At 38.0% G+C, this 13,612-nt stretch overlaps 1 long non-coding RNA gene across 1 annotated transcript in view, besides 2 other annotated features; it reads right to left on the reverse strand.

Annotated features, from left to right (window-relative positions):
* Positions 1–13,612, reverse strand: part of LOC124901379 (uncharacterized) — a 68,150-nt gene that overhangs the window by 38,034 nt on the left and 16,504 nt on the right. The gene's annotated exons all lie outside the window — the stretch shown is intronic.
* Positions 6,777–7,541: an enhancer, noted in NCBI's record as "OCT4-NANOG-H3K27ac-H3K4me1 hESC enhancer chr6:113885282-113886046 (GRCh37/hg19 assembly coordinates)". NCBI's record gives its function as "activates a minimal SCP1, AML or CMV promoter by ChIP-STARR-seq in primed H9 embryonic stem cells {active_cell/tissue: H9 hESC(primed)}" and the evidence as "EXISTENCE:reporter gene assay evidence [ECO:0000049][PMID:30033119]".
* Positions 7,542–8,305: an enhancer, noted in NCBI's record as "OCT4-NANOG-H3K27ac-H3K4me1 hESC enhancer chr6:113886047-113886810 (GRCh37/hg19 assembly coordinates)". NCBI's record gives its function as "activates a minimal SCP1, AML or CMV promoter by ChIP-STARR-seq in primed H9 embryonic stem cells {active_cell/tissue: H9 hESC(primed)}" and the evidence as "EXISTENCE:reporter gene assay evidence [ECO:0000049][PMID:30033119]".

Raw genomic sequence — 13,612 nt, forward strand, 5'->3', positions numbered from 1 at the left:
TAACTGAAACACTTGGGTACCTAACAAACACTTTGTAATGATGGCGACATCAGAGAAAAGAAAAAAGTAAAAACAAATAGAAATAGGTTAATGTTCTTAAGTCCATCCATATTCACTAGTCCATTAAATCAAAATATAAACCACTCGATTTTAACATCTGGAATTTTATTTGTTTTGTTCCTCATTGTATCCCCAGTACCTGGTTTAGCGCCTGGCATTTTTCAATAAATATTCACTGGGAAGTGGTAGGAGGAAATAATTAATAATAATAATAAATATTCAATAAGTACATGTCGAATGAGTGAATAGTTATGGCCTTGAGTAATTTTTTTCCCTAAAGATATTGCCATTGACTTTCAACTACTGAGAGGAAAACATTTTCTCAGTGTGTAAAATATCCCAAGCTTGTGACCAAGAAGGAATCTTAGCATCCATATGGTCTCATTAAAATGAAATGCTTTGTTCCTCAGATTTCCCAGATTGAAAGGGTATGTGTATAAACAATAAATATAAATCCAAAATACTTACAACAATAAATTTCATGACATGTTTTTATAGAATATCAATTAATAGGAACGGCATCAATGTATAAACAGTGTGTAACTAAGCTACAGAACACTTTTAGTTCTGTCATTTGTAAAATAAATGAATGATTCCAAGATTACTTCCACCTCTAAAAATAACATGAGTTTATGATTCGAGAGTTGCTCTTTTATCGTCAAAGTGGTCCAATGTATTGGCACCTCCAATCTCTTCTGATGGTCTCTGTAGCACTTCCAGCAGTGCCCTAATCATACGCAGACCACAAAACGTAATGGTCTGGGATGTGCACGTCCAAGGTCCAGGAGCACTTCAGCAAGAGACCTGAGCTCAGCTGATTAAAGAAAGCATGATTCAGTCCTCCTCACCCAAGGGAAGGCCCACAAAAGATCTCTTCAGTGAAGAAAGGGAATGGGAAGCACAGTGCGCATGTGAGTGCAATCAGATACACCCCAAGTTAGAGCAAAGGGTCAAATTAAGGGGCGTTAAACATCCTGGAAAGAGCTAAGGAGAGGGAAAAGAAGAGAAGTGATTGTACACTTAGAGGCAAGCATAATCCAGGTTCTTATGTTTTGTCAGTGGAGAAGGGTTTGAGTCTAGCCAGACTGGCAATAGCAAATGCTTGGCCCTCAGTGTTTCCCACCCCAACATCTGCCACTGCAGGAGAGACAGCAACCAGTAAGAGGCTGCAGGGACTATGGTCTACAGCACTGGATGGGGGGAATGGCAAGGGTCCTGGGTGGCAGCACAGGTGGCAGCCAAGTGGCAACTTGTATGCCAGATGGGAGAGTGTCACATGCTGCCCCTGGCACACATGCAGCTCATTTTAGGGGACTAACAAAGCCCTGCATTTCTCAAATGGACATATGGTGTCAAAGAGGAAGGTATAAAATTCTATTATGTGGAAACCAATGAATAAAATCAAAATATTTCTCTCTTACTTAGAAGAGAATATAAATAAATGGAATTATCAATTATGATTTTCTAATAAAGAAGATAAAAACTTCCATTGAAATCTGAAGAAAGAAGAAACTACCTAAATAAACCCCAGCAGTGAAGCCCATTTTTCAAGACAGATACACCCAGCTTCTCTTTACAATCTACCTCCTGTTCTCAGCACTAATTTTCTCCCATCTTTATTCTGTCTGCTCATCTCAGTTCTAAGCTTCCTCTACAAGTCACTGACTAGTGTGGAACAGCTTTTCTAATCTACCCACATTCTTGTAGGCATGGTAATGGATCCCTTCAAATAGGAAATTGCTACTTTAAAGAGACAGGACACTTTGAAACCAAGACAGTTGAAAAGATGTCATTGTAAATTAACACAACAGACAAACAGAATCTGGAAAGAGTTATTTGCAAATGTATTTGGGCATGAAGAAGGAAGTGGGTCACAAAATTATGACCCCTGCATATTTAGTCTAATACACATCCTCATTCCAGACAACTAACTGTGAGCTATTGAAAATGAAAGTTTAAAGAGAATATAATAAAAAGACATTCTCATAACTTCTCCTCTGAAGATCCATAAATAGATTGGAAATAATGTCCAGGAGGCCTTTGCAACTGCTTGTGGGGGTAGCAGTAATTAACAGAATCCAAACACAATGTAATCTTCTACTTAAACACTGTCACCATTTCTTAATTTTTCCTTAAAATTATGATTGTTTCTTGCTAGCTTCCCTGGCTCAAAAGATATATTTAAATTGCCCTACTTTTGCTCCCTGCATATCAAAGAGAGAGAGAAAAAATGCAGCCTAGTTAGCCAGAAAGGAAAACAACATTTCTATAAGCATATAATCTTACTTTAAAACTGGCAAAGCAAGTAGAAGGGACTAAAAATGTTATAGCCTTGGTTCCATATTCATTACCTCCAAGTGAAAGCATACAATATGCGGCAGTTGCTGTATTAGGCTCTTTATTTCTTACTAAATGCAAATAAGTTCAAGCATAAATTCTAAAAAGGATAACCTTACTTAGATATTAGGAACAATTCTCTTCCTTTAGGGGACTCTGGAATGCTGAAAGAGGAAACCAGGAAGGTTATACAATTTTCTTTTTCATGAGATTATAAGGAAGATAGTAAGAATTTTTAAGGATAATCCCTCAATAACATATTTCCTAGAGGAAGAAAGATACAAATGCTCGTATAGCCCAAAAACTTGCTAATGGCAGAACGATGGACTTTTTTCATGAAGGGAGGGACCACTCTTTGTCACACAAGATCTATGCCTAGTGATGGTTCATAAATGTGCTAGAATAAATTCCTAATTCTATGTGTACATTTGAGTAGCAAGATGATTCTGAAAATTGTACTAATAGTTACTATTCCACTAATAAAATTAGATCCAGAAAGCAATTGGGTTTCCAGGCCACGGGTAAGCATATGTATAAAGTACTAATTCTTTAGGGCCTCTTTAAAGCACACTTTTTTGTTTTACTATGATACAAAAAAAAAGTGTAATTTTGGAATGTATGTGCATGTGAATGTGTCCAAAACCAGCGCTGAAATTAATAAGGGATCCTTATTTAGACACTATTACAACAAGAACCCCCTATTAGTCTGCTAGAGCTGCCACAACAAGGTATCACAAATTGGGTGACTTAAACAACAGAAATTTATTGTCTCACAGTTCTAGACCTAGAAGTCCAAGATCAAAGTATCAGCAGAGTTCACTCTTTCTGAGGCCAAGGGAAAGAAGCTATTTCATGCCACTTCCCTGGCTTCTGGTGGTTTGCTGACAATCTTTGGCATTCATTTGCTTGAAGAAGCATCATCTTATCTATGCTTTCATCTTTACATGGCAGACTCTCTAGATGCATGCCTGTATCTAAGTTTTATCTTTTTGTAAGGACACCAATCCTATTGGATTAGGACCCACCTGAAGACCTCATTTTAGTTTGATTACCTCTGCGAAGACTGTATCTCCAAACAAAGTCATATTCTAAAGTCCTGGGGCTTAGGATGCCAATATATCCTTCTTTATTAGGGGGTAACACATTTCAACCCATAGCATACTCCCCCGAAAGAATAATTACATAGGGTAAAAGCAAGCAAACATACTTAACCAGACTAGATGTCTATATTACTTTATTCCTTATACAAAGACTAGGTCTCTGTAAAATCAGACATTTTAATTCTGTCCTCTGAGCTGGCTCATTGTCTAGTGTTTTGGAAGCAACCAACTGTTGGTTAACTTTTTAAAATTCAATTTTCATAAGGTTGGACAGATATCATATAGACACAGCAAAAACAAATGCCATACCACTGGAATGACTCAGAGCTATAATCACAAGTCACAAAGGCACAACATTTTATTCTTATGATGAGTATCAAGTGGGTGTTATAAAAAAAAACCCCTTAAAAATGTGTGGTTTCTTTGTCTGATGTGTGTAGACTGCCTCAGGTGCTTTCAGAAACAATAGAAATTTTTTCCAAGTTTTATATTGGTCAACTTATTTTGATAATAATGAGAATATAAAATATTATAACTGAAAAGCACCTTCAAAATTGTCTAGTCCAACTCTTTAACATTATAGACTTGAAAACTGTGTTCCTGAGAGATTCCTTAAGTGACTTGCCCAAGGTAATTTAGCAAATTGCAGTAGAGCCAGAAAAATAATCTGAGACCTGGCGTCCCCTCTAAATTAATGATGTTCTGCTACAGGATAGCCATCATATCACCCTTGTCTGGAAATCACCTATGTTACCCAAAATTAGGCCCCCAATGGCCACACAGAGACTAGAAGTAAGTTTAGAATCTGTTGCAGAGGTCATGCACTATTGTTTTCTCAGGGCAGTACTGCCACCACCCTCAAGGGCTCAAACAAAAATTGTGATGTCTTAGAGATTTACTTAAAATGTAGTATATAATTTTACTAGTGTAGTTGTCTGCTTTCTCCTTTAAATCTTTAGTTCTTCCTAGATTATGGTTATAACAACCACATTTTCAAATCTAAATATCAGGACGCATGTTCTGATAGGAAATGTGTTTATCCCAATGTGTTTGCACATAATATCACTCATGGCTGGGCGCGGTGGCTCATGCCTGTAATCCCAGCACTTTGGGAGGCTGAGGTGGGCAGATTACGAGATTAGGAGTTCAAGACCAGCCTGGCCAACACAGTGAAACCCTGTCTCTACTAAAAATACAAAAATTAGCCGAGAGTGGTGGCGTCCACCCGTAATCCCAGCTACTCGGAAGGCTGAGGCAGGAGAATCGCTTGAACTCAGGAGGCAGAGATCGCAGTGAGCTGAGATTGCGCCATTGTACTCCAGCCTGGGTCGCAGAGTGAGACTCTGTCTCAAAAAAAAAAAAAAAATCACTTATTTAGTATTTTTTCAAATGACCCTTTTCTGAATGCATTAAGTCTGCTTGGATACACATATCCATGCCTATATCTATGAGTATTTCATTCACATGTGTGGTGGTGTGTTGGCAATGGAAACATATGATGGAATATTTAAAATAAGGATTGCCCTAGATTGGGGGATGGGGTGGGGGAAAGAGCAATTAGGACACCATGGTTGTGGCAAACACAAGATTAGGAGAGTTTGAATGGGTGGGGAAGTGAGAATGATTGTAGTAAAGTTTCCTGAGAAGGGAGAGCTGTCAAACTTTCAGGGTGAATAATATAGAGCCATTTTTGCATAAGGATAAATAGTAATCTCATCAGGGTCCAGAGTAGGGTGCAGCAAGGGAGGCACACAGGAGGAAGCAGCTAATAAAATACTCTACAGGTGATTCTCATGCTGGGCTGCCTTCATAAACGGCTCGTCCCAGGTGCCTCCCTCTACCACCCTAGACCCGGCCTGCCTCTCTTAACCTTCAGTAGTTCTTAAGGGAATCACTATGTTACAGTATTGCATAATAACTAATGTGCATAATTATTATTCTGAACCATGGAAGCACTAAATCACTTCAATAATTCAACCTAATAAGTCAGGGAAATGCACTTAAAAGTTTTAAGTAATTTAAATGTTAAGTTTGGACAAACAGAGCATTAAGCTTACATTCTCCGAAATAATCCAGTTCAACCAGAATGCTTCATACCTGATGATGCTTCATGACGTTCTGAAAATGACTGCACACTACTCTTTGCACATTACATGTGAACATACCTTTCCCCCTGTTCGAAAACTGCCTCTGATAGCCAGAGTCAGGCTCCTACAGCCACCACTGCATTCCTCGTGCCTGCCACCTTCATCCTTCTCTGATGGGTCAGAGCAGTCACCCAACACCAACCCAACCTAGGCCTACCAAAATCAACCTTCAGAGAATTTGAAATTTAGATACAGAGGTCACCAGAATGTCAGCACATTTATCATCAAGTTGTGGAGACTAAAGACCACCCATTCCTGCAGTTTGTGAGACTGGCACTTCCTTTCTAGTGTTGGCTGTTCACCTCTTAGTCCATAGGAGAGAGAAGCAACTTTCCCATAAATCTCTCTTTTGGTTTAACTTTACCAATATTCTGTTCCTTGTAACTCCCAATGCTGAAACAAACACAGACTCCTACCCCATGGCAGGAATTGTGCTACCTGCTGGGGTAATGAAGATAGATATATTAATAATAGTTTCCGCCTTCAAAAATCTCACAGAGCATCAATAGTAAATGTGGTCTTACTCTCACTTATTTGATTAATCCATAATTAATATATTTGAGCACATGTCTTTTCTCCTATGAGGAACACTGTTCATGCAGTTTGACACTGGAAATTCTGGCAAGACAGAGCGTTTATCAAGCTTTGTGGTTATGTGTATTAAATACAGACCTTTTAACTGCTACTGGTAACTTGTTTTTAACTATAGGATATAATCTCCTGATGTTATATTTAAAATATCATTTGATCCAGTAAAATTTAAATACCAATTAGAGACATTTTAGAAAAAAAAAAATTCTTTTGTTTGTTTTTGAGACAGGGTCTCACTCAGTCCCCCAGGCTGGAGTGCAGTGGTGTGATCATGGCTCACTGCAGCCTCAACCTCCTGGGCTCAAGTGATCCTCACACCTCAGCCTCCGAGTAGCTGGTACTGAAGGTGCTCACCACCATGCTTAGCTAATTTTTTAAAAAAAATTTTTAGAGACAATGTCTTGCCATGTTGCCCAGGCCAGTCTGAAACTCGTGGCCTCAAACAGTTCTCCACCTCAGCCTCCCAAAGTGCTGAGATTACAGCCACTGAGCCTGGCTAAAAAATATATATATATATATATTTTTATATATACATGTATATATATAATTTTTATATATACATGTATATATTACATGTATATATATATTTTTATATATACATGTATATATATTTTTATATATACATATATTTATATATACATATATATTTACATATATATACGAGAAAAAAAGTAACAAATTTCCCAGATAGTTAACAAGAAAGGAAGGAAATACTTTAAAAGTAAAACTTAAGATTTAAGTGATTTTTTTTTTTGCACTTTGAAAATACATCTTGCTTTAAACACACAAAATCTTAGCAGCTGGAAGCCTGTTATGTGTTTAATTAAATGGCCCACACATGTGTTTGTAATGCACAGCACTGTGGTCTGTGAACGGAATCCTGGAATCCCCGGGGTGTATGGTCAGCCTTTTGCCTCACTGAACTCTCCTCTGGAGGCCATGGGAAACAGGGTACTTGTTTGAGTTTTCTCCTCGGGTCCACATTTCCTCTATCGACTACTGCTGTGTAAACAGACTCATGTTCAAAAGGTGCTGGGCTCCATTGACCTAATCCACTCTGAAGTGCCAGATCTGTCCACACGTCCTCGGGATTAGGCCAGCATGGCCAGCTCACCCTGACTTTGCCTAAGGGATGGTGCAGTGGACTTGGACCTCCCCCAAGCCAGGTTCATCTGATTGGTTTCCCTTTTGCGCTCTTCTTCCCCTGGGAGAGGATATCCTCAGCATGGACTGGGGCCCACAGAGCATGGAAGCTGAAACACCGATTCTTCCTCAATGAGCTGAAGTTCTCCAGATGGCAGCAAGCGCTCGTCATGCAAATTCTTGGCAGCAGGGAGCCTGTCAAGTGGCTACTGCTGCTTATTGTTACCAACACTCCCCCACCCCCTCCACACAAATGCAGAAGAAACACCATCTGTCGCCTGTGGGGCTGAGCGGTTCTTTCCAAGTCCCTTCTAGTCAGTGCCGCTCAGCAGCCCTGCGCTGTGCGCACGGTCCAAACAGGAGTTGCCTCTCCTTGAGCCAGGGAGGACCCCGTCCGGTGCTGGCAGTTCTCTTCTTCCACGCCTCCTGGGCCTGGCCCCTCATCCAGGGCCGAGCCGGGGCGTTTTGCTAGCAGATTTCTCATAAGATAGTTATGTAACAAGAATAGGAAAACGATTGTGTTTCTCCCTTTAGATTCTGGGAAAGAAACAAGATGAACTGAGTTAGCAACGTGTCTCCATCACTAGTGAGAAATGTGAATAGAAGATAACTGGTTAAGGAGCACACTCCGGATGTGAAAAGCACAGCCTTGAAGTTAAAAGGTCGCCCATAACATCAGCGTGATTTCGGGTTTGTGTTCTCTTCTCTCCCACTGATGTTATGTCTCCTGATTAATGATGAACTCTCATAAGACCTAAAAACGTTCTGTACAAACGAAAGCTGTCGCCAAAAGACTCTAAGCTCTGGAGAAGGCTCAATATCTTGTCCATCTTTGAACTCCGAGACCATCCGTGCAGTCATTCAATAACTATTTTTTCTTGTTGTTGCTGTTGGATTTTTGTGGGATAGTTATATATACAAATACAAATGCAAGCAATAATAATATGCCATGTCATATCTGCGTTTTTAATGTTTTCTTTTTAACCCCAGAAAGTTGTTCATATGCCTCACCTCAGGTCATTCTATCTTCCTTTATCTGTGCAAATCTCCCATTTTATTTTTTAAAACATTTAGTATTAATTCCCCATAGACATAGACATCCCTAAAATGTAATCTCTGCCTTTCAAATCTACCTTTCATACATTTCCTTAGATGGATATTCCTGAAAAATATTCTACATTTGTCTTTTACATGTGTTTATTTTAATGTACATAGATTGAACTGTGATTGTATCAGTCCTGACTTTTTCACCATTCTTATCCTTTGAGGTCTATTCCATTGTCATTCTTCCTCACACAGATGTTACTTTCCCATGAAGCGTCTCGTTCTATTCCATTTTTTACTCCATGACTTGCATTAATGGGTAAATTTGAGAAGAATGGCTGGGCATGCTCTTCTCTGTCTTCCCCTTCTTCTTCATGGGTCCTGGCGACTTTCAGAGAGTCCACTTTTTCTCCTGCTTAGATGTGGCGCCCCATGTGGGCACCTGGCCCAAGGTGGAGATTCTGTCTACTCTGGTTTTCAGTGTTCGGGTCCTTTTTCACCCACACTAAACATCTTCGAATGCTATGTTATCAACAATAAAAGCAATATTTAGATCTCCATTCATTTTTGCTTTTATTTCTTAATTTGTTCAGAATCCAGATAAGGAAGATAATTATCCTTTGTTGGTAGTCTTCTGGGAGACCCCAGGAGTCTTTAGTCAACTAGGTTTCATGGTTTGCATTTACACATGATATTTACATATTCCACTGGTGATAAACACATACAATTGCCTCCTCCCCTTTGCTGACAGGACTAGCACTGTGGTAACCAAGTCTGCCTGTGGACGTGGGGGGGAGATTCTCTGGAGTGTACACCAGGAGGAGGATTGTTGGATCACAGTTACATGAATATTTAATTTTACTAAATACTGCCATATTACTGCCCATAGTGACTGCATCATCCTTACCTCCAACAACAGTTGATATTATGAGCAGTGGATATTCTGAAGCTACCTCACTTTTGCCAGCCTGATAATGGTAGCTCATGACTGTTCAAATTAGTAAACATTGGTCGGTGAGGTGGCTTACACCTGTAATCCCAGCACTTTAGGAGGCCGAGGTAGGCTGATCACTTGAGGTAAGGCGTTTGAGACCAGCCTGGCCAACATGGTGAAACCCTGTCTCTACTAAAAATACAAAAATTAGCCGAGCGTGGTGGCATGCACCTGTAATCCCAGCTACTCAGGAGTCTGAGGTGGAAGAATTGCTTGAACACGGGAAGCGGAGGTTGCAGTGTGCTGAGATTGTACCTCGGTGCTCCAGCCTGGGCAACAGAGCAAGACCCTGTCTCAAAAAAATAAATGCATAAATATATTAGGAAGCACCTGCTCATATGCTTGTTAACTATTTGATTCCCACCCTAAGCTTTTGTGAATTATTATTCATGTATTTTGTCCATATTTTATTTGGTTTACAGTCTTTCTTGCTTATTTTCCAAAAACCAATTATACATTTATGTGTATGTAAGATAATTTCTTGTTAGTTTTCACATTATAAATACCTTCCTTCAATCTATATCTGCCTATTAACTTTGGTTATGTAGTCCTTTGTTAAACAGAATGTTTATATTTGGATATTGCAAAACACATTCATTTTTCTTCTTCTCATTTGTGCTTTGGGTTTCTGTTGGAGCTTCCTCCACATGAGATCACAAAGATAAATTTCTCTATTTCTTCCATAACAGCTTTAGATTTTCGCCTTTCAACTTTAGCCCTTTAATCTAATTTAAATGGATTTCTTTTTCTTTTTTCTTCTTTTCTTTTTATATATGCTATGATGTATGAATTCCCAATTTATTTTTCTTCATATGGTGACCCAATTAATCTATTCCTTAATAAGGAATCCACTCTTTCCTTGCTAACTTCTTCTCTTTTCTTCCTTTTTTCTTTTTTCGAGATGGTTTCTTACTCAGTCTACCCAGGCTGGAATGCAGTGGCACGACCATAGCTCACTGCAGCCTTGCTCTCCTAGGTTCAAGCCATCCTCCCATTTCAGCCTCCTGAGTAGCTGGGACTAGAGGAATGCACCACCACACCTGGCTGCTTTTTTAATTTTTTTTTTTTATAGAAATGGTATCTCGCTATGTTGTCCAGGCTGATCCCAAAGTCTTGGCCTCAAGCAGAATCCTCTTGCCTTAGCCTCCCAAAGTGCTGGGATTACAGGCATGAGCCACTACTCCTAGTCCCTTGCTATTTGTGATTATCATCTCAATCTCATGTATTATTTTCTCTACTCTCTGGACTCTATTCTATTCTATTATCTACCCGTGTGTTCCTGTGCCGGTACCACATGTTTAAACAATAGTTTTTTAAATGTCTTAATTTCTGTTTGGGTAAGTCTCTCTTGGCTCTTTTTAAAAAACATTTTAACTATTCATGGGCCTTTATCTTTCTACATAAATTTTAGAATCAATTTTTTAAGTTACTCAAAAGTTCTGCTGGGATTTTGACTGGATTTGTTAGAATTAATAAATTAAGTAATGGAAATTTAAAATATGTATACAGAATATTAAATATATCTTTCCTTTTATTCAAGTTTCTTTGTCTTTTTATTATGTTAATAGTTTATTGAGGCCCTTGAATTTAAGGTTATATCTCTATTACTTTTTTAAAATCTATTTTCCTTATTTAATTGGCTAGAAGCTCTTATAATGTCATCAGGGTTGAAAATGAACATCCTTGTCTATCCATGAATGGACTGGGTCTAGAACTCCTCCATTAAAGATGATCTTGCTATAGATTTTTTTCATATAGCTTTATTATATCTAGTATTTCTTGTGAAATGAAATGTTGTAAATGGGTAAAATGGAATGATTATGCTGCTGTTGTGTTTTCTGTACCAGCTCGCACAAAAAGTAAATACAAGTCCAATACAACTCGATTTCATTTTCAGTGGTATTGAGGACATACATAGTTTATGCTAGAAAACATACTCCAGTGATTCTTAAATGTTAGCCTGCATCAAAATCACCTGGTGGCTTATTAAAACACAGATTTTGGGGACACATCTCAAAATGTCTGATTCAGTGAGTTTGCAGCCAGGCTCCGAAGTCTGCATTTCTCACAAGTTTCCAAGTGATGCTGATGCTGCTGGCCCAGGGAGCCACTTTGAGAACCTTGACAGAGTCACTTTCATTCAACTTTGATCTTCTCATAGGCAATTTAATATTTTATTTCAGACCCAAGTTGCATTTTGTGTCTTTGGCCAACAAACCATTACAATGTATTAGGTTGAAATATATATAGTAGGCCAGGTGCAGTGGCTCAAGCCTGTAATCCCAGCACTTTGGGAGGCTGAGGCAGGAGAATCGCTTGAACCCTGGAGGTGGAGGTTGCAGTGAGCCGACAGAGAGAGACTCTGTCACAAAAAAAAAAAAAAAAAAGAGAACATTTCTTATGTTTTTGTCAAGACCCTAAGAATGAATTTCTTGTTCATTAGACAACTTTTCATATGTAGAAAATCAGTTTGTGAGTCTCAAACGAAACCACTTTTCAAAGACAGGTTTAGGCATTTAGCTATGACTATTATACATCATAAATTGCAGGGATCACCTTAATAAATTCTAGCCAATCGGATTAAAACAAGTCAACAAGTCTTTGTCATACCCAATTCTGTTGCTAGTATAGGTATGGCCAATGATTTTACATCTTCACATTTAAGTTGATAGTGCATGAGAAATTAGACTCTTAAGAAGAAATTTCCTAAATGTCCAAAACATGATCTGTCCTGCTGAATTCTTTTATAAAGTCTTATTTCTTTTAAAAAGCATCTTGGCAATCAAGTCACCATTGTTACCCTTGTCTTCATGTTAAAGATAAAATTAGGAAAGAATATTTTGTCATTTGTAATTGCTGCTTCTTTATTCTCAGTTTGTTATTTAGAAAATTTTATCCCATTATAGATTTTTCTTTTTTCTGAATAATGCCAACTTGATATAAACTGGTTAGTTCTTTATTTCTATTTTTATAGTTGAACCGTCCACAGTTTGGCCATGATAGTTGGCTGCTTCTGTTAGCAACTTATGCTGTGTTTCCAGTGTCTTGTTTTGGGAGTGATTTAGGGAATGAGGGGCTTACTTTAATTTACATATACTATAAAGAACATGAACTTTTGAAACAGGTAAATGTGAATTTTAATCCTAATTATACCACATATTAGCTCTGTGACTTAGGCAATTTACTTAATCTCTTGAAACCTCAGATTCTTCTATTTTAAAATAGGTATATAAGAACCTGCCTTTATAGAAGAGAAGTCATCACAGTACCTGAAATTTATTTGAAATATAAAAGTTTTGAAAGGCAAAAGTATAAATAAATTACATTAAAACATTCTACTAAAAGAAATACTTAAAATCCCAAACAAACCTGCACGATATATGAAGCTAATTGGAATTTGTAGAAATTAATTTATTCTACAAATACATATTTTGTGTATCTGCCAAGTTTATGATCTGGCTTGCCTATGCAGATTCAGACCAGAGTTCATAGCTACCTATGGGAGCAATTCATAGGATGTGTCCCTAAGGCAATATAACTGCCAGGCACTCTACCAGGCATTTTGCACAGAATCCATAAAACATTACTTTGGGGTAGATTCCTTGGCCTCTTTCCCCAAGGCCTGTGTTCTATTACAACATCATGCTGTGAAAAAGAAGGCTGACATTTACTCCTGGCAGAAAGGAGCTTTATGGTATTTCATCAAATCTGGAATATCACATCTTGTAAAACACATCATTATTTTACATACCACTAGGAAAGATTAAGAAGCTGCCAACTAAATTATGATATCATTTTTTATCTCTTAGAATTTTAATGTTATATGTATTAAAAGAGCCCATTTAGGTTTATTTGGGATTATATATCGCTTATGCATATATAAAAAGGAAAATAAGCAAAATAAATAGGGTAATGTATTTGCAAAGCTTTCTCATATTTCGAGTTCAACTCTACTAAAACATGTCATATAGAATAATTGTTAATATCTGTGTTTTTCTACATAACTTCATCATTTATGCCATCAAGAGCAGCATTTCTCACTCTATGATTGTGTCTATAATTTTTTTCCAAGCCACTGACACTCTTTCTGCAAGTTTGTATGCACCTATGCAAACAATAGCATCCACAATATGACTGCCACCTAGCCAACAGCAATTGTAAAACACCCAGACATAAAAATATGAAAAAATGTATAT

Source organism: Homo sapiens, chromosome 6, assembly GCF_000001405.40.
Source record: "Homo sapiens chromosome 6, GRCh38.p14 Primary Assembly".
NCBI lineage: Eukaryota > Metazoa > Chordata > Mammalia > Primates > Hominidae > Homo > Homo sapiens.